The following is a 23,267-nucleotide window of genomic DNA, read 5'->3' on the forward strand; positions in this document are numbered from 1 at the left end:
CAACAGGATGAAACCCAGTCTCTACAAAAAAATTAGCCGGGCATGGTGGCATGCACCTGTAGTCTCAGCTACTCAGGAGGCTGAAGGGGAAGGATCACCTCCACCAGGAGGTGGAGGTTGCAGTGAGCCATGATCACGCCACTGCACTCCAGCCTGGGTACAGAGCAGGATCCTGTTTTAATAAATTAATTAATTCATATGTTGAAGTCCTAACCCCTAATAGCCCAGCATGTGACTGTATTTGGAGATAGAATGTTTAAAAAGGCAATCAAGTTCAAATTAGGTTATTAGGATGGGCACTAACTCAATATGACTGGTGTCCTAATGAGAAGAGAAAATTTGGACTATCCACCTGAAATAATCAAAAGGATCAGAATCCAGTTTAAAAGAGCATATGCAGGCACGAAGCTGAAAATAGCCACTCAGGACACACAGACTCCAGAGGATTAGAGCCAGTACCCCAAAGCCAAAAAGTGAAGGTCTTGCTTATACAGGCAGAAAATAAACAAATTGAACAGGGTTACAGTGCTTCCCATGCAAGGCTGGTTTATGAGTCACAGCAATTTGATTAATCACAGCTTGTTTTCTTTTCCTTTTCCAATTTGAAAGAGCCTATTGAACGTTCTGTCTTAGACAACGTGGTGGCCAGTGAGGTCTCTGTGTAAGAGAAGTCAGAGGGGAGCAAATCTACAGTGAAGATCAACATGAAGAGGGAAGGGGTCTTCCCTGGTGTCCTGTAGTCTTTTATAACATTTTACAGAACAATGTAGGTAAAGAAAAAGCTAATCTATAATCAGAGGAACAAAGGTTACAGCTGCCTAAGCTACAGCTGACCGTCATACGCAACTCAGGTCCTATAATCATGTTCCTTGAAGATGCAAAATAATTTAAAGTTCCAACAACTTTGGTTTTGAATGGCTTCTTTTTACAGGACGCAGACATGTACAGTAGGAGGGCGATGGGAGACACCTGGAGAGAAGATGGCCGTCCACAAACCAGGGCCAGAGGCCTAGAGCAGGTGCCCCCTGCTGGACTCCAAGGGAGCCAAGCCTGCTGCCCCCTGGGTTTTGGACTTCTGGCTTCCAGAACTGCAAGGTGATAAGCTTCTCTTGTCGAAGGCACCCAATCTGTGGCAGTTTATTATGGTCCCCGTAGCAAACAAATACCCTCAGGTTGGCTGCATCCTGGGACTGAAGGTCAGCGCTGCTCTCAAGATGTAAAAGACTTTCTCCTTCTGAGGCTCCGGGGTCCACTCCTGCCATTGCCAGCATTCTAGAACTGGTGTGGCCCCTCCACCTTAACCAGCCCTGGGCTCTGGAGTTTCTGACTGTGATTGTCCACATTTTGACCACAACTTTGTATATAAAAACCCTCCTTGAACTGTTCCACTGTGTGTGCCCGCCTATTGGGACCCTGACTGATACATGCTGTATTGGTTTTTAAAAACTTTTTAAAATTTATATTTTATTTAGGATTTTGCATGTATGTTTATGAGATTGGCCTATAATTTTCCTTTCCTATATTCTCTGAATGACTGTTATCAAGGCTATCCCAGCCTCATAAAATAAGTTCTTCTTTTATCAAAATTCACTGGAAAATTCTGTATATAGTTGGAAGGATCTATCCTTTGAAAGTTAAATGGAATTCACCCATAAAATTACCTGTCTTGGTGTTTTCTTTACAGGATTGTATTTAACTACTGATTCAATGTCTTTAATAGTTATGGGACTAGTTTTATTTCTTCTTGAGTCAGTTACAGGAAGTTATGCTTTTATAAATTTATCTGTCACCCAGGTGTGGTGGCTTATGCCTGTAATGCCAGCACTTTGGGAGGCCGAGGCGGGTGGATCACAAGGTTAGGAGTTTGAGACCAGCCTGGCCAACATGGTGAAACCCCATCTCTACTAAAAATACAAAAATTAGCTGGGTGTGGTGGCAGGTGTCTGTAATCCCAGCTACTCAGGAGGCTGAGGCAAGAGAATTGCTTGAACCTGGGAGGTGGAGATTGCAGTGGGCTGAGATCCTGTCACTGCATTCCAGGCTGGGTGACAAAGCAAGACTCTGTCTCACAGAAAAAAAAAATTCATCTGTCTAATTTTTTATATTCATTGACACAAAGTTGTTCCTGGTTGTGATGGTTAATATGAAGTGTCAACTTGACTGGGTCGAAGGATATAAATTATTGTTTCTGAGTGTATCTGGGTGTTTCTGGGTGTTGCCAGAAGAGATTAACAATTGAGTCAGTGGACTGGGGAGAGGAAGACCCACTCTCGGGAAGTTCCACTGTGATGTTTAATACTGAGTGTCAACTTGATTGGATTGAAGCATACAAAGTATTGATCCTTGGTATGTCTGTTAGAGTGTGGCCAGAAGAGATTAACATTTGAGTCATTTGGCTGGGGAAGGCATATCCACCCTTTATCTGGGTGGGTACCATCTAATCAGCTGCCAGTGTGGCTAGAATATAAGCAGACACAAAAACGAAAAGACTAGACTGGCCTAGCCTCCCAGCCTACATCTTTCTCCTGTGCTGGCTGCTTTCTGCCCTTGTACATTGGACTTCAAGTTCTTCAGTTTTTGGACTCAGACTGGCTTTCTTTGCTCCTCAGCTTGCAGATAGCCTATTGCGGGACCTTGCAATCACGTGAGTTAATACTTCATAAACTCCCCTTTATATATGTCTATCTATCTTATTAGTTCTGTCCCTCTAGAGAGCCCTAATACAGATTTTGGTACCAGGAGTGGTTCTAGAAGAATAGAATATTAAGGATGGACTTCTTTTGTTGGTTTTGGGATTTCTGGAGTTGCCTGCTTAATATGATTAGACCCAAAAATTCTAAGGACTCTACTTCTAATGGCATGGAGAACACCGATAGTCCTTGGCATGAACTATTTAGAGAGCTATGCAAATTAAATGCATTTGACACTCTTGATTCACTGCTCATGAGAGGCAGGGAGTTTAGTGACTCTATACATAATACCTTTGACCACATGTGGAGAACCAAAGAGCTAATGAAGCTGGTTGGTTGCTCCTAAAGTTCGGTGGACAAAGTGATGAAAGAAAATGATGAACTCAGGGATTCTAACTCTCAGCTTCAGAAGCAGATACTGAGCCTCAAATCTTCTAAGATTGCCCTCATTGAGAGTCTTATCTCCTTTAGAGAAAGAGCTGAAATCGTGGAAAAACAGACACAAGCTCTTACCATGCGAGTGACTGACCTGCAATGAAAGGTACGTGCACAGCCTCGCCAGGTGTCTACTGTTAAAGTGAGGGCACTGATTGGAAAAGAATAGGACCCTGCAACTTGGAATGGGGATGTGTGGGAGGACCCTGATGAAGCTGGGGACACTGAGTTTGTAAACTCTGATGAACATTTTTCACCAGAAGGAAGAGCTTCCCCATCCCCAGTAGTGGCAACATTCCCTCCCTAACCCATGCTGCCATCAGCCTTTCCACCTTTGTCTGAGGAGATAAATCCTGCACTGCCTGAGGCAACAGTGATGGCCTCCCATGAGGCAGTTGCCAGACAAGATAATGTTGATTCTCCTGAGGAGCCAACCCTAACACCCCTGTTTGTTTCTCAACCTATAACTAGACTAAAGTCCCAGTGGGCGCCTAGAGGTGAGGTTGAGAGTGTGACCCATAAGGAGGTGTGCTACACTTGAAAATAAGCATTTGAATTCTCTAATTGATATAAACAGAAATCTGGAGAACAGGCATGGGAATGGATATTAAGGGTGTGGGATAATGGTGGAAGGAACATAGAGTTGGATCGGGCTGGATTTATTGATTTGGGCCCACTAAGCAGGGACTCTGCATTTAATGTCACAGCTCAGGAGTTCAAAAAGGTTCTAATAGTTTATTTGCTTGGTTGGCTGAAATATGGATTAAAAGATGGCCCACTGTGAGCAAGTTGGAAATGCCTGATCTCCCTTGGCTTAATGTAGAGGAAGGGATCCAAAGGCTTAGGGAGATTGAGGTGGTGGAGTGGATTAGTCACTTTAGACCTACTCATCCCAGCTGGGAGGGTCCAGAAGATATACCCTTGACCAATGCCTTGCGAAATAGATTTTTGAGGGCAGCACCTGCGTCTTTGAAGGGCCCTGTAATTGCTCTTCTCTGTATGTCAGATCTAACAGTGGGAACCACAGTCACTCAACTACAAAATTTAAATATGATTTAATGGGATGATGGGAATAACTGGATCCTGAGGTGGCAGGGGCCAAGTGGCGGCACTCAACCATCAAAGGCAAGGTGGGCACAGCTACCATAATGGACAGCAGAGGCAAAGTGGCAATCAGAATAGTCTGACTTGTGTAGAGCTCTGGCATTGGCTAATTAATCACAGTGTTCCTAAAAAGTGAAATTGACAGGAAGCCTACTGCAATCCTGCTTAATTTATATAAGCAGAAAACTTCTAGGGCGAATGGACAAAAGACTAATATGAATTATAAAAACAGAGAATCACAGCCCCTCAATCAATTTCCAGACTTGAGACAGTTTACAGACCCAGAACCCCTTGAATGAAGGGGAGGCTGGGTCCCCTTGAGGAAGGACTCCACTACACTACTGACAATTTATGCTGTTAATCTTTCTTTCTTTCTTTTTTTTTTTTTTTGAGACAGAGTCTTGCTCTGTCACCTAGGCTGGAGTGCAGTGGTGCAATCTCGGCTCACTGCAAGCTCCGCCTCCCGGGTTCACGCCATTCTCCTGCCTCAACCTCCCAAGTAGCTGGGATTACAGGCGCCTGCCACCACACCCAGCTAATTTTTTCTATTTTTAGTAGAGATGGGGTTTCACCTTGTTAGTCTGGATGGTCTCGATCTCCTGACCTCATGATCCACCCACCTCGGCCTCCCAAAGTGCTGGGATTACAGGCGTGAGCCACCGCACCCGGCCTATGCTGTTAATCTTTCTCCCATCCTTCCCCAAGGAGACCTCCAGCCTTATACCAGGGTAACTATGTTGGGGAAAGGGAAATGATCAGACATTTTGGGGACTACTGGACACTGGCTCTAAGATGACATTGATTCCAGGAGACCCAAAACGTCATTGTGGTCCTCCAGTTAAAGTAGGCGCTTATGGAGGTCAGGTAATTAATGGAGTTTTAGCTCAGGTCTGACTTTCAGTGGGTCCAGTGGGTCCCCGGGCTCATCCTGTGGTCATTTCCCCAGTGCCAGAATGCGTAATTGGTATAGACATACTTAGCAGCAGGCAGAACCCCCACATTAGCTCCCTGACAGGTAGAGTGAGGGTTATTATGGTGGGGAAGGCCAAATGGAAGCCATTAGAGCTGCCTCTACCTACAAAAAGAGTAAATCAAAAACAATATCACATCCCTGGAGGGTCTGCAGAGATTAGTGCCACCATCAAGGACTTGAAAGACGCAGGGGTGGTGATTCCCACCACATCCCCACTCAACTCTCCCATTTGGCCTGTGCAGAAGACAGATGGATCTTGGGGAATGACAGTGGATTACCGTAAGCTTAAGCAAGTGGTCACTCCAGTTGCAGCTGCTGTACCAGATGTGGTTTCATTGCTTGAGCAAATTAACACATCTCCTGGTACCTGGTATGCAGCCATTGTCTTGGCAAATGCCTTTTTCTCCATTCCTGTCCATAAGGCCCACCAGAAGCAATTTGCCTTCAGCTGGCAAAGGCAGCAATATACCTTTACTGTCCTCCCTCAGGGGTATATCAACTCTCCGGCTTTGTGTCATAATCTTATTCGGAGAGACCTTGATCGCTTTTCGCTTCTGCAAGATATCACACTGGTTCATTACATTGATGACATTACAGTGACTGGATTCAGTGAGCAAGAAGTAGCAAACACACTGGACTTATTGGTGAGACGTTTGTGTGCCAGAGGATGGGAAATAAATCCGACTAAAATTCAGGGACCTTCTACATCAACAACATTTCTAGGGGTCCAGTGGTTTGGGGCCTGTCGAGATATTCCTAAGGTGAAGGATAAGTTGCTGCATTTGGACCCTCTTACAACCAAGAAAGAGGCACAATGCTTAGTGGGCCTATATGGATTTTGGAGGTAACACAGTCCTCATTTGGGTGTGTTACTCTGGTACATTTACCGAGTGACCTGAAAGGCTGCCAGCTTTGGGTGGGGTCCAGAACAGGAGAAGGCTCTGCAACAGGTCCAGGCTGCTGTGCAAGCTGCTCTGCCACTTGGGCCATATGACCCAAGAGATCCAATGGTGCTTGAGGTGTCAGTGGCACATAGGGATGCTGTTTGGAGTCTCTGGCAGGCCCCCATAGGTGAATCACAGCACAGACCTCTCAGATTTTGGGGCAAGGCCCTGCCATCTTCCGCAGATAACTACTCTCCTTTTGAAAGACAGCTCTTGGCCTGTTACTGGGCTTTGGTGGAAACTGAACATTTGACTATGGGTCATCAAGTCACCATGCAACCTGAACTGCCCGTCATGAACGGGTGCTTTCCAACCCGTCTAGCCATAAAGTGGGTCATGCACAGCAGCATTCCGTCATCAAAGAGAAGTGGTATATATGTGACTGGGCTCAAGCAGATCCTGAAGGCACAAGTAAGTTTTACATGAGGAAGTGGCTCAAATGCCCATGGTCTCCACTCCTGCCACCCTGCCTCCTCTCCCCCAGCCTGCACCAATGGCCTCATGGGGAGTTCCCTGTGATCATTTGCCGCGGTTTGCCATGGTTACTACGGGACTGAACGAAGGAGGATGAATGTAGAAATGAAAACAAAAAACAAGAAACTATTTTAAAGGAAGAGCACGGGGAAGAAGAGGGCTCCCAGTTTCTAGTGAGCAAGGGCAGCCACCCTGAGCTTCTATAGCCCTTCATGTTGGGTAGAAAGATCAGGGAGCAGGAGGTAATGATTGGTCAGCTCCTTAATTGATCTCAGGTTCACATTATTGCTAACAGGCTTCATAGTTACCTAATCACAAGAAACACTTGTGCGTGGGTCGTGACTGCTCTCAGCAGTCCTTCTGGGCAGCATATGTGGTTTGTCAGTTCACCAACAACCTGCTTTTATGAGAACAGTTTGCTGTTTACTCGTATAGCCTCTGGTGGTATACTGAGTTGATCGTGACCCTCACTCTTTCGGCCTGCAACAATCATTTGACAGAGGAAGAGAAGACTAGGACCTGGCTCACAGATGCTTCTGCACGATATGCAGGCACCACCCGAAAGTGGTCAGCTGCGGCACTACAGCCCCTTTTTAGGACATGCCTGAAGGACAGCAGTGAAGGGAAGTCTTCCCAGTGGGCAGAACTTGGAGCGGTGCACCTGGTTGTGCACTTTGCATGGGAGGAGAAATGGCCAGGTGTGTGATTATGTACTGATTCATGGGCTGTAGACAATGGTTTGGCTGGATGGTCAGGGACTTGGAAGAAGCATGATTGGAAAATTGGTGACAAAGACATTTGGGGAAGAGGTATGTGGATGGACCTCTCCGAGTGGTCAAAAACGGAAGATATTTGTGTCCCCTGTGAGTGCTCACCAATGGGTGAACTCAGCAGAGGAGGATTTTAATAATCAAGTGGGTAGGATGACCTGTTCTGTGGACACCACTCAGCTTCTTTCCCCAGCCACCCCTGTCATCGCCCAGTGGGCCCATGAACAAAGTGGCCATGGTGGCAGGGATGGAGATTACACATGGAGATTCAGCAACGTAGCCCTCCACTAGCCAAGGCTGGCCTGTCTACAGCCACTGCTGAGTGCCCAATTTGGCAGCAGCAGAGACTAACACTGAGCCTCAATATGGCACCATTCCTCAGGGTGATCAGCCAGCTCCCCGGTGGCAGGTTGATTATATTGGACCTCTTCCATCCTGGAAAGGGCAGAGGTTTGTCCTCACCGGAATAGACACTTACTCCTGATGTGGGTTTGCCTATCTTGCACGCAGTGCTTCTGCCAAGACTGCCATCCATGGACTCACGGAATGCCTCATCCACCATCAGGGTGTTCCACACAGCATTGCCTCTGAGCAAGGCACTCACTTTACAGCTAAAGAAGTGTGGCAGTGGGCTCATGCTCATGGAATTCACTGATCTTACCACGTTCCCCATCATCCTGAAGCAGCTGGATTGGTAGAACGGTGGAATGGCCTTCTGAAGTCACAATTACAACACCAACTAGGTGACAATACTTTGCAGGGCTGGGACCAAGTTCTCCAGAAGGCCATGTATGCTCTGAATCAGCATCCAAGATATGATATTGTTTCTCCCTTAGCCAGGATGCACGGGTCCAGGAATCAAGGCACTCAAGTGGAAGTGGCACCACTCGCCATCACCCCTAGTGATCCACTAGCAAAATGTTTGCTTCCTGTTCCCACGACATTATGTTCTGCTGGCCTAGAGGTCTTAGTTCCAGAGGGAGGAACGCTGCCACCAGGAGACACAACTGTTCCATTAAGCTAGAAGTTAAGATTGCCACCTGGACACTCTGGGCTCCTCCTACCTTTAAGTCAACAGGCTAAGAAGGAGTTACAGTGTTGGCTGGAGTGATTGACCCAGACTCTCGAGATGAAATCAGTCTACAGCTCCACAAAGGAGGTAAGTAAGAGTATGCATAGAATTACAAAAGATCCATTAGGGCGTCTATTAATATTACCATGCCCTGTGATTAAGGTCAATGGGAAACTACAACAGCCCAATCCAGGCAGGACTACAAATCCCCCAGACACTTCAGGAATGAAGGTTTGGGTCACTCCACCAGGAAAAAAAAAAACATGAACTGCTGAGGTGCTTGCTGAAGGCAAAGGGAAATGGTGAAGGTGAAGGAGGAGCAAAGGCACCTCTTACATGGCGGCAGGCAAAGAGCATGTGCAGGGAACTGCCCTTCATAAAACCATGAGATCTCATGAGACTTATTCACTCTCATGAGAACAGCACAGGAAAACCCCACCCCCATGATTAAATTTCCTCCCACTTGGTCCCTCCCACAACACATGAGGATTACGGGAGCTAATATTATTAATACAATTCAAGATGAGATTTGGGTGGGGACACAGTCGAACTGTATCAGGCATCCTATGGGCAGGCCAGAAGTGTTGGTTACCCCTTCCACCCATGCCTTACTGGCCAGAACTCACTCATACAGCCTTACCTGATGGGGGCGGGGTGGTGGTACTGGGAAATGTGGATGCACAAACGGGTGTGACCACAGGGTACAGTGCTTGCCACACTCAGCTGACGTGTTTCTCTCCCACACACCAGGCCACTTGGAGATGCAAGACAAAGCAGCCCACCCCTGGTCCCCATCATCCCCTTGGAATCACCTTGGAAAACCCTGGATCATTTTGAAAGATGCTCATGGACGCCATCTCATTGGGGCTCATCACAGTATCAAGGTAGAAGAGGAAGCTGAGACCAGTAAGATCACATGGTGGCTGAAGGTGGTGTGGCTAGTCAGGGACAGGTCCCTTGGCCACAGAGCCACTGGCGGGTGGCAATGTGCCACGACCATGGGGTCTGGCAGAGATGGCAGTGTCCCTGGCCACAGTGTCCAGCAGCAGCATGGCAGCCGCAGCAGGGCTCTGTGGTCAGACAGGGGTGCTGCTGTGACCTGAGACTGTGGGCTCCTTTGAAGGTGGTGACCCTGCCCCTCGTGTGGAGCCCAGCTGTGCTGTGGGGCTGAGCTGTGGTGTCCTCCTCTTTCAGGATGTGGCTCTGTTTTCACTGCCTACCAGCTCTCCAGCCTTCCCCTTGGTTCTTGGAGACCTGATTTGCTTCCAATCAACCCCTTCCTACTCAGTGGCCAGCCTATTTCTCCATTTGCAACCAGCAACCCTGGCTATAACTTCTGGGGAAACTTCTGGCTATAACTTCTGAGGCACGGAGCGGGGCAGGAGCTTGCCCAGGGTCACAGCGCTCTCGGCCAGTCTGGGAGTGGCAGCCAGGCCACCTCCTCCTCCTGCAGGAAGCTTCCTCCACCTTTCAGCAGCCCTGGAGCCGCATGGAGCAGGGAAGGGAGTTGTCTACCCTCCGGCATCCTGTGTGTTCCAGGCTGTGTGGGAGCAGGTGCAGCTGCCAGGCATGGCAGGAGCCTGGGCCCGGGCCAGCACTCAGGAATGCAGCAGGGCCCTGCCTCTCCCTGTAGGGATAAGCAAGTGCCAGGCGCCCAGGGCAGCGGATGTGTCTGTGGCTACAGCCCCAACGGCCCCCGCCTCCGCACCGGCTGTCCTGGGCCAGCCCCTTGGGGGCCTGGGATGTGTGGGGAGCATGAATGGGGCTCTGTGACCCAGCAACTGTTCTGCGGAAGGCGGCTGGTGGCTGCACAGGTGACTGCGGGGGTGGGTGGGGGATGCAAAATTCTGCTTCCTGGGCCTGGTGTCCCCCGCCTTGCATGAGGCCCTGACAAGACATCACCGAAGCACCAAAGCCAACCCTTGTGGCCCACCGGAGACCTGTCTCTTGGATCACAGGGGCAGTGGGGAGGGGCGCCCAGGGCTCCCGATGCCTCTGAGCCCTGCTCTGAGGTCAGCCGATGTGGCTCAGTCCTGGCTGTGAGGCCTCACGCTGCCCTGATTCCATTTGCTCCTCAGTGCGAGGCAGACAGAGCCCAGCCTAGGGTCTGGATGGGATGAAATGAAGACGTCTCCTCCCTAACGGGACACTGTCTACCCCTTCCTTCTTCTCCCCCGAGAACCGTCAGCCCCGTGAGGATGGGGTCTAGGGTAGGGCATGTGGACGGAGCTTTGCTGTTTGTCCAGGTGCTTATCTTCTAGGGTGCCATCGCCCCTCCCCACTGCTGTTCCCGTATCTGCTGGGTGTCCCCAACCCCAGGGTGGTGGAGGCCGTCTCTCGGATGGGGCTGACACCCAAGGCACGGACCTGCCAGGTCCCCCAAAGCACATGGCCTCTCTGCAGAAGAACCTGGATGTGACATCTAATGCCCAGGCCAGAGCTTGGGGACAGCTGGACTGGAGCCACAGGGTCAAGGAGGGGGAGTCCAGAAGCGCAAAGTCCACCCAGCTGGGAGGGCTGCTGGCAGGTCCTTTACAAAGCAGGCAGCTCCTCTGCCCATCGGAGCCGGCTGGCCTAACCAGGGCCTGCTCTTGCCTGGGATGGGGGCAGAAGAGGTGGAGACCTGGGGCCCTGAGGCGGCACTGTGGGTCCTGGACCCGCCCACCTGCACTGGGGTCCCTGCAGGCTTTTAATGGGAACAGAAATGGAGGAAGAGACAGAGGCTGCCAGGGGCTCCCCGACCCCTACTGCCTGCCTGGGGAGGGGTCACCTCAGTGTGGGGGAAGCCTGGGGATGTGAGAGCATCCTAGGCCTGGGCTGCCTGTGGCCAGTCTGTTGTCCGGGTGTCTAGTGACCCCTGGGGTAGGGGCAGATGCCAGTCTGGGAAGCCGGATTGTTTGAAGACCAACTTTAAAGTTGGGAGCAGTGCCCAGAGCGGGGCCGATGTCTGCTAGGTGGTTGTCTCTGCTTTTTGAAAAAGAAGTCCCCGCCCGACCCCCGCCCCGCCAGGCGCTGGTCTGAGCGTCTGAGCCCAGATGGTGCGCTTGCTCCAGAGGGCGGGCGGCTCCAGTGGCCGCCGCGGGACGGTGGGGCCAGAGGGGCCCGTGGGGGTGGGGGAGCCGCCCGCAGGAGAAGGAGCCCCGCCCGCGCCGGCCCTGGAGTCGCCGGTGTCGCCGCCCTGCCCGCGGGCCCGCCCTCCTGGCCCAGCCCAGGGCCCTGCGAGCTATTTTGAAAGTGACCCTGGGCTGGGGCGCCGGGGCGAGCGCGGCGGCGCGGAACCATGACAGAAGATGACCGAGGCGGCGCTGGTGGAGGGCCAGGTCAAGCTGCGGGACGGCAAGAAGGTCGGGGCGCGTCGGGGGCGCGGGGGGGGGGGGCGCGGGCGCGGGCGGCGGCTCACGCTCCCCCCTGTCCCCGCAGTGGAAGAGTAGGTGGCTGGTGCTGCGGAAGCCGTCGCCCGTGGCAGGTGAGCGGGGCGGGCGGGGGACGGGGGGCGCGGGGGTAGCGACACGGGTTACCGAGGCCCGGGGCAGTAATGCCAGCTTGCCCAAAATCGCCGCCGCTGTCACCCCGCCGGGAAACCCGAGAGCCCCGTGCGGACCCGGACCCCCCGGCGCCCCTGGGAGCGCAGGTGGGGGCCCTGGACGGAAGAACCCTCTTTCCAGCAGGGCAGACTGAGGCCCGAGGGGCTGCCTGGTGGCCCTGTAGGCGGAGGGGACGCAGGCCCTGAGCCCCCCAGCAGAGCAGCAAGGGGCCCCCCAGAAGCAAAGCCCCACATACCTGAGGGTTGAGCTGTGCTTGTGGAAACGCTCAGAGCAGGGCCCCCGAACCCAGCCTCCAGGGGTGCTGCGTGGGTTAGCGCTGACCCTGGACCCCTCCCAGGCAGACGAGAGGCTGGGCTGCGGTAGGGCAGGGCAGAGTGACTGCCACATTGCTGGGGGAACAGTCCTCTGGGAGGAGGCAGGGGTCCCCCCCCAGTCCCCGCCCTGAGCCAGCACCCCAGCTTGGGGAGGGTCAGCATGGAGCCCCCAGGTCTGGCAGCCCAGGCCGCCTGCAGCGCTGGGCCTGTAGGGAGGGCTGAGCCGGGCCTGCAGCTGCTCCAGAGGACAGGTGCGGCAGAGCCGGCCAGGCCCGGGTCTGGGTGGGATGCTCGGCCTGTGTGCATGGGGGGCTGTACGCCAGGGGGCTGCCAGAGCACCCTCCAGGACGGGTGTCTGTGACTCCCAGGGAGGGTGTGGGGCAGGGATCCCTCCTGCGTCCCCTCTGCAGGGCCTCAGGTGGTCCTGGAGGAAAGCACTTCCTGCCTGCCTCCGCCTCCCCTTGCAGGGCCTGGACTGCACGCTGGTCACTTCTCCACTCAGCCCTCCGTGCCCAGACCTCCTGCCTGGAGCTGTGGGGGCACCGACAGAGCCTGGGAGGGCGTCTTTGTCCTCCGGGGCTGCAGGGGACCTGGTATAGGAAGGGATGGGGTCTGGGCAGAGTGAGAGGCCCTGCCAGGCTGGGGCGGATGACAGGCTTTAGTCAGCTGTGGCTGGGTCGGGGCCGTGGTGGGGCAGGTGATGCTTGGTGGATGGTGCTGGGCTGGAGCCGGTGCAGACCCTCCAGAGAGGCCGCATCCCAGGAAGGCACCCGGGACAGCAGCCCCCAAAGAGGAGTGTCGGGGGAGAAGTCTTTGTCCCTGTTGGAGGGATTTTCTTTCTGCATCAGACAGTCCCAGGAGGCAGGGCCTGCCAGCCTCAAGAGGGTGTGCTCCCCCGGCCGGTGAGTGCCTGAGTGGAGTGACAGGAGTTTGCAATGGGTCCCCCAGGTGGGACAATCTGTGAGTCTGTAGGTGAACATGGTGGCTCCCGAGCGTCTGCTGGGTTATCCCGTATCCTGCGCAGTTGAGATCTGCAGCCTTCTGGGGCTGGCGTGGGAGGTGATGTGGGGTAGTAGAAGGTGCCATGCCCCCTCTGGGTGGATGTTCATTCCAAGCCTTGAGGCCAGGTGTCCCTAGCACCCACTGACTCACTGGCCTGGGACCCATTGCTTTGGACACCTGCTTTCTGTGTTGGTCACTCCAGCAGCCCAGGGTTGAAACTGACACCCTGTGGGGTTGCCCAGAGGTCGGTCAGATGAGGGGATGGGACAGAGCGGAGTTCTCACGCCCACCTCCCCACCCTGACCAGGCCAGCCTGGCACCTCCTCTCCGCTCAGAGGCCCTGATGCCTCTTCCCCTGGCCCCTCATAAGCCTCCCTAGATGCTGCCCCCTTTGCCTTCACCCAGCTGCCTTCCCGCTCAGCGCTGGAGACCACCTCCCTTGTGGATGGGCCCGGCGTGGAGGGAGCAGGCCCCAGCCCTGGAGGAGCAGACAGCACAGACCCTGCGCTCCTGGTGTGAGGGAGAGAGGAAGGGTCCCGTCTGCTTCCTTGTAAGACAGGCAGGGTTCTTTTTGTTACCAGTGGTGATTTCCTTCTGGGAAGGGCCCCGATGTGCACCTTTTCCACTGGCACCTTTCTCCTCCTTGCGTTTTTCTCAATCGTGAGCACGTCTTTCTGTTATGACAAGGTTTAGCGAATGAAAGGGAAACCCTTTTATCAAAGGGCTGCTCAGCCACAGCGCCTGGCATGGCCAGTGGACGTCGGGCCGTCTGCCTCGGTGTGGGACTGCAGGGTGCCCTGCAGTGGGACCACGTTCCTCAATGTCTCCACCGCGTCCTCACTGCGGAATGCGTGTCTGCGTCCCCTCTCTGGGCAGGGCCCCGGGGGAGGAGGGTGGTCTGTGTCCAGTTGTGGCCCAGGACTCACTGCTGGTGGCCCTGCATGCCAGCGGCGCCTGGCCCAGCCCCTCTCTTCTTCCTCCCAGGTGCGGGGGCTGGGGGTGGTGAGGAAAGTGTTCTTGACATCCTGTGGAGAGTGTGGCCCCAGGCCAGACACTTGAGGGGGCCTGCTTCCCACAGGGGCTGCCCCTGGGGGCTTCATCCAGCTCAGAAAAGCCACCGGGAGGGCCCGAGTCCTGGAGCTGGCAGGGTCTTGGAGTCACCATGGTGGGGGGAAGCTGAAACTCAGAAACCCGAGGGATCTGGCCCAAGACATGGACTGCTGGGCAGAGCCCAGTTCCCCCCAGCCAGCCCAAACCTTGCCCCCCACAGCTGGCTGGAAGTTCCGCGCCTGCCCCCGGGCTGATGGCTGGGCCCTTGCTTAGTCTCCCCTATCCTTGCTCTCGGTGGGACTGAGCCCGGCCTGCAGGAGGGACCCCACGGAGACGGCGCAGGAGCCGGGAGCCCCCTGGCAGGTGCCCCGTGAGCCCCGGAGCTGCCCCACGGCTAGTGCTGTCCTGGGGCCCTGCCCTCCACAGCGCCTCCGCTAACGAGGGGCTGGGGGTGGACACTGGGTCGGCCCTTCCTGAGCAGAGCCTCCTGGTGGTGGATTTCCTGTGCGTCTGGCTCCTGCCCCAACGGACTGGGGCTGACATCCCAGCTCCGGGCTGAAGACCGGGCGTGGGTGGTGGCCAGTTATCCTCTCCCCATAGAAACATCAAGAACAGGGCGACCTTCCCTCAGCCCCCGCGTCAGGACAGGGAATCAGAGAGCTGGGGTTCAGCTCTCAGCTCCACATGTGGGAGCAGTGACCTGGGACGGCTCATTCCCCGCCTGCGTCCTCGTCTACTCACAGGGCTCTTGAGGGCAATGGAGAGGTGGGCGCGAGGGCCTGGCCCTGGCATCTGGAGCCTCGTCCTGGGCTGCCCTTGGTGATGTCTGTGGTCTGGGGGGCCCACCTGCACCACACCTCCAACACCTGTGCCGGGCAGGGGCACCCTCACGCGTTTCCTTCCCGAACCAGATTGTGAATGGGTCCGGGGCTAGGCACTGGATCTTGGTCTCGTGTGTCCTGGCTGTGGCCTGGCCCGAGGAGGCATCAGCAGGCCGGCCTGGTCGATGGCCGCCCCCCTTGCTCCTGCCCAGCTTCTGGGGGCGGCTCCAGGCTGCTGCACCCCAGCAGGGTCCCCTCAGGCGGCTACCACCTGCGTTGCTAAGGGCACAGCCTCAAGGTCACTGTGACCTCCAAAGGCTGTCCCGCAGCCACTTCTGCGGACTCCCATCGTGTTCAGTGTGGGCGGGGACCCCCCCCACTGCGTCCCCGGCCCACACATGCCCCTGCCTTCCCTGGGCCACCATGCCTGCTTGCTCCATCTTCCCTGCGGCTTCTCCCCCTCCTCCTTCTTCCCTCCCGCCCTCCCCGGCTCTCCGCCCTGGCTGTAAGGCCTTCCGTGTGCTCATGACTCCACAGTTATTTTTACATCTCCAGAAGCCTGCGTCCAACTGCCTGTGTGCATCGCCGCCCGGTGTCTGGTGGGCTTCTCAGCCTCACGTGTCCAGGGAAGACCCCCCCCCCCCACCCCAGACATCCCTCCCCAACCCAAGTCCCAGGGCTCATCCTGGATTCCTCGTTTCCCTGTGGCTGTGGAGGTGAATGCAGGGGGAGCGTGTGTGCACGTGCGTGTGTGTGTGTGAGGATGTACATGTGCACCTGTACACACCGTGGGAGCGTGTGCACGTGTGAGCAAGTGTGAGCATTTGGGTGAGTGTGTAAGAGTGAATGTGTGAGTGTGGGCTTGTGTGGCTGTCTTAGCTCAGGCGGCTCTTAGCGAATGCCACAGCCTGGGCGGCTCAGACGACAGCCAGTCACTGCTCACGGTTCTGGGGGCTGGAGGTCCAAGATCAAGGCAGCCTGGGTGTCTGGTGAGGATCCGCGTCCTGGGTGTCTCGTGAGGACCATGTCCTGCTGCATAGGTGGCGCTTTCTCTGTCCTTATATGGTGTAGGGGGAGGAAGCGCCCTGGGGCCCCCTCATCAGGTACTGGTCCCATTCTTGAGGCTCCACCCTGATGACCTCATCGCATCCCAAAGGCCCCACCACTAACCCATCGCCTTGGGGGTGAAGATTTCAACACTGGAATTTCAGATTCAGACCCCAGCACTGAGTGCATGAGTGCACGCTTCTGTGTGTGCACAAGCATGAGTGCAAGTGCATGACTGTGTCCACGTGTGTGTGCATGTGAATACCTGTGTGTGCAGGTGTGTATGCAAGTGTGTGTGTGCATGTGAATACCTGTGTGTGGGGGTGTGTGTGCACAAGTGTGTGTGTGTGCATGTGAATACCTGTGTGGGGGTGTATGTGTGCAAGTGTGTGTCCGCGTGCATGTGAATACCTGTGGGAGTGTGTGTGCACGTGTGCACATGCGTGTGAATACCTGTGTGTGCGAGTGTGTGTGAGCTCAAATGCTTGTCTGTGTGCGTGTGTCTGTGTGTGCAAGTGTGTGCCGGTGTCTGCATGGGCATGCAGCAGTGTGTGTGCCTGTGTGAATGTACATGTACGAGTGTGTGCCTGTGTGTGCATGTATGTGTGCCTCTGTGTACATGTATGAGTGTGCATGTGCGTGTGTGCGTGTATGAGTGTGTGTGACTGTGAGTGTATGTGTGTGTGCCTGTGTGAGCATGTATGAATGTGTGTGCTTGTCTGAGTGTGCGTGTATTGGTGTGTGCGTGCCTTTGTGTGTGCGTGTGTATATGCCTGTGTGTGTGCATGTATGAGTGTGTGTGCCTGTGTGCATGCCTGTGTGTGCATGTATGTCTGTGTATGTGTGTGTATGTGTGCGTGCCTGTATGTCTGCCTGTGTATGTGTCTGTGTGCGTGTGTGTGTGCATGTATGTGTGCCTGTGATCATGTATGTCTGTGTGTGCCTGTGTGTGTATGCATGGAGTGTGTGTGTGCGTGTATGTGTGTGCGCGTATGAGTGTGCATGCCTGTGTACGAGTGTGCCTGTGTATGTGTGCATGTCTGTGTGTGTATGTGTGTATGAGTGTGCGTGCTTTTGTGCACGTGTGAGTGTGGTGCCTGTATGAGTGTACGTGTGCCTGTGTATGCATGTGTGAGTGTGCGTGTATGAGTGTGTGTGCCTGTGTATGTGTATGAGTGTGCATGTCTGTGTGTGCATTAGTGTGTGTGCCTGAGTGTACATGTGTGTGCCTGTGTGTGCGTGCATGTATGTGTGCACACATTGTGTGTGTGCGTGTATGTGTCTGTGTATGAGTGTGCATGTGTGTGTGTGCGTCTGTGTGAGTGTGCATGTATGAGTGTGTGTGCCTCTGTGTGAGTGTGCGTGTGTGCCTGCTTGTTCCACATGGTCTCTGTGCCTTGGCCTCTCCTGGTGCCTCTTCCTCGTTTGTCTCCTTTCAGCATCACGACCCGGTGCCCTCCACCCAGCCCAGTGCTGCCTGCCAGAGCCCCGGGAACCCTCCAAGTTCTGCAAAAGCCTTCCCTGGCCAGGTTGCAGCCAATGCCCGCAGCCAGAGGGTGGGTGGGCAGGGCTGATGGTGGTTCCTCAGCCGCCAGGCAAGAGACCCCCAGCCGGAGGGTGGGTGAGCAGGGCCGATGGTGCTTCCTCAGCCGCTGGGTGAGAGACTCCCAGGTGCCCAGGCCTCCTGGGAGGGTGTGGCTGGGGCCCTCTGGGCCTGGCGCCCGGGGAGCTGGCCAGTGGCCATCCACTCCTGAGTCCCCCAGACCTGTGTCTACCCGGCACACGTGCTGTGTCCCAGGGAGAGCCGCTGCGTCCTGGGGCTCTGGTGTCCCGGCCTTGACCTGGCTTGGTCTCAGCCCTGGGCCTGGAGCTTCCATCTCTCTGGTACCAGTTCCTGCAGCGCTTTGCCCCCTGGCACTCCCCGAGAGATGCACTTTAAAAACAGGATCGATTTATTGTTGGTGATGAGGAGAGGGCGGCCTGAGCGTGAGGGGGTGGGCGTCAGCTGCCGGAGAAGCTTCTGCCAGGCAGGAGGGACGAGCGGGCCCCCAGCTCTGACCTCTCGGCTTCTGTTCATGTTTGAAAATGAAATCGGTGGTTTGGGTGGTCGTCAGTTTCCTGTGGCCGACAGAAGAAAGCACCACAGCTGGGCCTTCAAACAATGAGAATTCACCCACTGAGTCCTGGGAGTTAGAGCTCTGCAGTCGAGGGGCCCGTAGGGCCACGCTCCCTCCAGGCTTCCCAGAGGGGCTCCTTCCTGCCTCTCCCAGCTCCTGTTAGACACAGGTGTCCCTTGGCTGTGGCCTCAGCGCTCCAGTCCCTGCCTCCGTCCCCATTCAGGTGACCTTCCCTGTGTCTGCGCCTCCTGTTCTCCCCCTTACAAGGACACTTGCTGCTGCGTTCAGACAATCCAGGATCCTGAACTCGATTACATATGCAGAAACCCTGTTCCCAAATAAGGACATACAGGTTCCGGGGTCGGGAGTGGACACGTCTTGCTGGGGGCCACGCTCAGCCCCTGCCTGTAAGTGCTCCTGGATTTTCAGGCGTTCCCAAGGTGCAGGATGTGAGTCTGCATTTGTAGACAGAGTCCAGAAAAGTCAGACAGGCCGAGGGGTGGCGTCCGTGAATCAGAAAGAGGTCTGAGGGTCGAGCGTGGGTTCAGCATGCGCCCCACCACCAGCCTTGCAGGGGTAGAGGTCTAGGGTGGGGCCGGCTGGCTTGTGGAAGGTGTGAGAAGCCGTCGTGGCAAATTCAACTCTTGGCCAGGAGTCGGCTCACTGTGGTCTCTGGGCCAAATCCTGCCGGAACCTGTTTTTGTAAATAAAGTTTTATTGGCTCGCAGCCATTCCCACACGTGTCATCTGTGGCTGCTTTCCAGCTAAGTATGGTAAAGGAGACTTTAAGCTCAATCAAGCCAAAAGGGTGACGTCGGGCTCTTTACAGGCAAGCTCCTGACCCCAGTCCTGACTGTATTATTGGGAATGTAACTTGTTGAACAAAGGAGGTGCTGGTTGGGGGCAATGGAAGGAACTGGTTGTTATCAGGTGCCGGAGCTGTCTGCCAGGGTGTGGCCAAGGTGCCACCACCACAGAGCAGAGCCACAGGGGAGGAAAGGTCCCTGCCTGACTTCTGGGTGATCAGCCCACCAAGGCTCCGAGGAAGCTGAGGCCCTCGAGGTGGAAGGTGGTGGATGGTTGGCCAGTGTGTGCCCCTTGCTGAGCACTGAGGGTGAGCCATGGGTCACCTGGTCCCTCTGTGCATGGGCAGCCAGATTGCAGGGAAGACGCTCTGGCCTTATAGCTGGTAACGCAGACAGATGTGTACCTGAATATGCAAGCATGTATTGAGTGCTTACTGCACACAGGGCCTCCACACCTTCCTGCAGATGGTCCTTACGGCATTGCTGCAGGTGGGGGTGCCACTGTCCCCAGGTCACAGATGAGGAAACTGAGGCCAAGATCCCAAGGCCATACAGCTGGGAGGTCAGAGCAGGGATTCCCAGGGGCCTTGCCCCTTAGGGGAAGGGAGTGAAGGGGTGGTCTGTATGGTGCGTGATTATCCTCAGTGGAAGTTTCAACATGGGTGTGGCTCAGCTTTTTAGGGTCCCCCAAGGCAGAGGTGGCCCGGGCCCCTGCAGCGATCTCACAACACACTTCAACTGCAGACGGTGGAGACTGCGGGCTGTCCTCCGGCTCAAGCGGCCCTGGGGCCCCCGTCCTGCGCGGAGCCACCCGTGTTCATGCTGTTCCCACACACCGTCATTTCTTGGGTGCTCTGGTGACGCATTTGAGGGACATTGCTGTTACGGCGAATTCCGATTACGCCGCTGTGTTTGATTTCTCTCTTGGGGCCGGGCGTCCTGCTTCCTGCCTTGGAGTTTCCAGAGGGGGCCAGGAGATTGTCTGGAAAGCCTCAGCTGGGCAGGCGGAGTTCTGTAGGTGCGGGAATGAGGGGGCTTCTTTCTCAAATTGGGAATGCCTAGCTTTTTTCTAGCTGTAAACGTTTCAGACGCTGCGGACAGATCCTCCAATGGGAAGTGAACGCACTGTCGCCGCGCCCACACCACGCCTTGCTTTTGTGAATCAAGCTTCCTGGCATGCAGCTGCGCCCAAGGGTCTACACAGGGTCTGAGGCTGCTTTCACGCAGCAAGGGTGGCGGTGCTGAGTAGTGGCCGCAGAGCCTGTGTGGCCCTGAAAGCTGCATGCTTGCCCTCTGGCCCCTTGCAGAGGAAGCTTGCTGACCGCTGGCCCCTGTGGTCACACAGACCCCCTGGCTCTGCGGGCTGTGGCCATGTGGCCCGGGGAGGTGGGCACGGCTGGGGAGGGAAGCTGAGCACCATGTCTGCTCTGGACTCCATTGCAAAAATGAGTGTCTGCGTCAAATTCATTTGGGATTTTGGTTCTCACGTGGCTTTGCAGGGCCTGTGTGAAGAGTGAGCACCTGCTTTTCAGAGCTTCAGATGACACGTCATTCTGCAATCCTCTTCGGGGACATTCTCCCCAATCCCCTCCTGCATGCTCACAGGGATTTGGGGTGTTTGTATGAGGTCCCAAAACCTACACCCTCGCCGAAGCCGGGTATCCTGGAGCCCAGCTGCCGGGGCCTAGGTGGGAGGAGGCCTGGTCATCAAGCCTGGAGCCATGCCGGGAGGGCCGGGAGTCTTCCTGCGCCGTCCTCTCTGCTCTCTCAGGCAGACCTGCTGCCCCCGCCATTCACAGGAGTGTCCCCGGGCCAGGTGGTTTGCCCAAGGCCACACAGGGACTGTGCTGTGCCAGGTTTGAGCTGCACCTGGTGGAGTAGACAGCACCAGCCGGTTGCCTGTGGTGACAGTGACGTTGGAAAATGGGAAGGTGGGGGTGGAGACGGGGACCCGAGTTGCCCTGGAGGGTCCGGGAGGCAGAACGCAGGCAGGTCCCCAGCAGCCGAGGAAGAGACTAGGGCCTGCTGTGCTGGGCAGTGGCCGGGTGGATGGGGATGGGACCCAAGGCCCATCGACCTCCCCTACCCCCTGGGGCTGAAGCTCAGCCACAACCTGGGAACTAAAGGAACCAGGAGGGGCGGTGGGTCTCGAGGCAGCAGGGAGTGGGCACAGGTGTGGCTGGCAGGGCGGCAGGATAGGAGCGGACTGGCAGAACCAGGGCAGGAGGCCACAGCCACCGGGCAGGCCCCACGCTGGGCCCCCAAGCCCGTGACCACAGATCCTGCAGCCCTCAGTGTGGCCCAGGGGGCTCCAGGGCCTGGGACAGGGCAAATCCGCCAGTGAAGGTCCAGAACCCAGTCATGGGAGCCAGCGTCGGGGGCTGGGCACAGACATGAATATTCTGAGTTCATTTCCGCTCTTGCAGCCTGTGGGTCTTGCAAGGGGAGGGGATCGCCCCATTTTGTATGCCGGGAGTCGAAGCCTTGGCATGGCTGAGTGGCTGGCTTGAGGTCATGACCCCAGCCCGGGTCTCTGCACTGTCACGGCCTCCCCGGGGACGCCAAGGGTGCGGGCAGGCGGTGTTGGCTGGCGTCCCTGACGGCCACGCTCCTTGCAGACTGCCTGCTGATGCTGGTCTACAAGGACAAGTCGGAGCGTATCAAGGGCCTGCGGGAGCGCAGCAGCCTGACGCTAGAGGACATCTGCGGGCTGGAGCCCGGCCTGCCCTACGAGGGCCTGGTCCACACGCTGGCCATTGTCTGCCTGTCCCAGGCCATCATGCTGGGCTTTGACAGCCACGAGGCCATGTGTGCGTGGGATGCCCGGATCCGCTATGCGCTCGGCGAGGGTGAGTGACGGGGGCCGGGGCCGGGCGGGGGCTCCCCGTTCAGGTGTGCCGGGGCCCCTCACCAACGTGGGCTGCAGAGGTGGGAGCGGCTCCAGGGAACCGTGCAGGAAGATGGGACATTCATGGGTGCCTTAGGGTGGACTGAGCTCCAGCCTGGGGGTGCCCACGAGGGTTTGGGAGGGGGAGTCTGCTGGGCTATGGTGTCTTTAGAGCTCCCTAGCCTGACCGTTAGTTACAACTGGAGCCTTTAACCCAAGCTGGTGGCCTTTGGAGGGACGTGGCTTCCCAAAGCCCTGCCCTTTGCTTCCTACACTGGACAGTGGAGCCCAGAGCCTGGCTAGGAAGGAGAGCCCCAGGCTGGGCGGTCCCACCCCAGCTTCCCCCCAAAACAGGATGGGAGGGAGGGAGGGAATAGAGGGAGGGGAGAGGGAGGGGAAGGGAGTGCTCCCCTGTGGAACTGGCCCTGGAAGAGGTGGAACGTCAGTCCCAGCCCTGCAGGGGCTTCGAATGGGTGCCTGGGGGCCTCTGGGGGCTGAGCTGCCCTGGGGCTGTGAGCAGAGGTGGGTGGTGATGGGGCCCTGGGCACTCAGCGGCAGAGCAAGCATAATCCTGCATCTCCTAAGAAACCAAAATCAGTGCCAAAACCCCATAATGAGCAAAACAGTAGAATGTCCACTGAGTTGAGTCCTGGTCCTACCCTGGCACCCACCCAATAATCCCAGCAGCCACAGCTGCCCTCCCTTTAAAAACTTGCTATTTTAGGCTGGGCACGGTGGCTCATACCTGTAATTCCAGTACTTCGGGAGGCTGAGGTGGGTGGATCACCTGAGCCCAGGAGATAGAGACCAGACCACCCTGGGCAACGTGGCGAAACCTCGTCTCTACTAAAAATACAAAAATGATGGCCAGGTGCAGTGGCTCATGCCTGTAAACCTTGTGCTTTGGGAGGCCAAGGCGGGCAGATCACCTGAGGTCAGGACTTCGAGACCAGCCTGGCCAACATAGCGAAGCCCCATCTCTACTAAAAATGGAAAAATTAGCCTGGTGTGGTGGTGGGCACATGTAATCCCAGCTACTCAGGAGGCTGAGACAGGAGAATCGCTTGAACCTGGGAGGCAGAGGTTGCAATGAGCTGAGATCGCGCCATTGCACTCCAGCCTGGGCAACAGAGTAGGACTCCATCTCAAAAAAAAAAGAGCTGGGAGGTGGAGGTTGCGGTGACCTGAGGTTGTGCCACTGCCCTCTAGCCTGGGC

The 23,267-nt window shown here is 55.9% G+C and overlaps 1 protein-coding gene across 5 annotated transcripts in view, besides 5 other annotated features; it reads left to right on the top strand.

Annotated features, from left to right (window-relative positions):
- Positions 10,461 to 11,308: an enhancer, noted in NCBI's record as "H3K27ac-H3K4me1 hESC enhancer chr4:3463811-3464658 (GRCh37/hg19 assembly coordinates)". NCBI's record gives its function as "activates a minimal SCP1, AML or CMV promoter by ChIP-STARR-seq in naive H9 embryonic stem cells {active_cell/tissue: H9 hESC(naive)}" and the evidence as "EXISTENCE:reporter gene assay evidence [ECO:0000049][PMID:30033119]".
- Positions 11,683 to 23,267, top strand: part of DOK7 (docking protein 7) — a 38,177-nt gene continuing 26,592 nt past the window's right edge. For 4 of the 5 annotated variants that reach the window (NM_001301071.2, XM_011513435.3, NM_173660.5 and 1 more), the window contains exons 1-3: positions 11,683 to 11,806; positions 11,883 to 11,928; positions 21,783 to 22,013. In NM_001301071.2, coding sequence (NP_001288000.1) covers positions 11,753 to 11,806; positions 11,883 to 11,928; positions 21,783 to 22,013 — 331 coding nt within the window. In that variant the 5' untranslated portion in view covers positions 11,683 to 11,752. The remainder of the gene's footprint in view (positions 11,807 to 11,882; positions 11,929 to 21,782; positions 22,014 to 23,267) is intronic. The other variant, NM_001363811.2, reaches the window with a different exon arrangement.
- Positions 14,226 to 14,835: an enhancer, noted in NCBI's record as "H3K4me1 hESC enhancer chr4:3467576-3468185 (GRCh37/hg19 assembly coordinates)". NCBI's record gives its function as "activates a minimal SCP1, AML or CMV promoter by ChIP-STARR-seq in primed H9 embryonic stem cells {active_cell/tissue: H9 hESC(primed)}" and the evidence as "EXISTENCE:reporter gene assay evidence [ECO:0000049][PMID:30033119]".
- Positions 16,055 to 16,662: an enhancer, noted in NCBI's record as "H3K4me1 hESC enhancer chr4:3469405-3470012 (GRCh37/hg19 assembly coordinates)". NCBI's record gives its function as "activates a minimal SCP1, AML or CMV promoter by ChIP-STARR-seq in primed H9 embryonic stem cells {active_cell/tissue: H9 hESC(primed)}" and the evidence as "EXISTENCE:reporter gene assay evidence [ECO:0000049][PMID:30033119]".
- Positions 21,593 to 22,304: an enhancer, noted in NCBI's record as "H3K27ac-H3K4me1 hESC enhancer chr4:3474943-3475654 (GRCh37/hg19 assembly coordinates)". NCBI's record gives its function as "activates a minimal SCP1, AML or CMV promoter by ChIP-STARR-seq in naive H9 embryonic stem cells {active_cell/tissue: H9 hESC(naive)}" and the evidence as "EXISTENCE:reporter gene assay evidence [ECO:0000049][PMID:30033119]".
- Positions 23,014 to 23,207: a silencer, noted in NCBI's record as "fragment chr4:3476364-3476557 (GRCh37/hg19 assembly coordinates)". NCBI's record gives its function as "represses an EF-1alpha promoter that drives an FKBP-Casp9 reporter gene in an ReSE screen in K562 erythroleukemia cells {active_cell/tissue: K562}" and the evidence as "EXISTENCE:reporter gene assay evidence [ECO:0000049][PMID:32094911]".

Source organism: Homo sapiens, chromosome 4 (genome assembly GCF_000001405.40).
Source record: "Homo sapiens chromosome 4, GRCh38.p14 Primary Assembly".
Classification (NCBI taxonomy): Eukaryota; Metazoa; Chordata; class Mammalia; order Primates; family Hominidae; genus Homo; species Homo sapiens.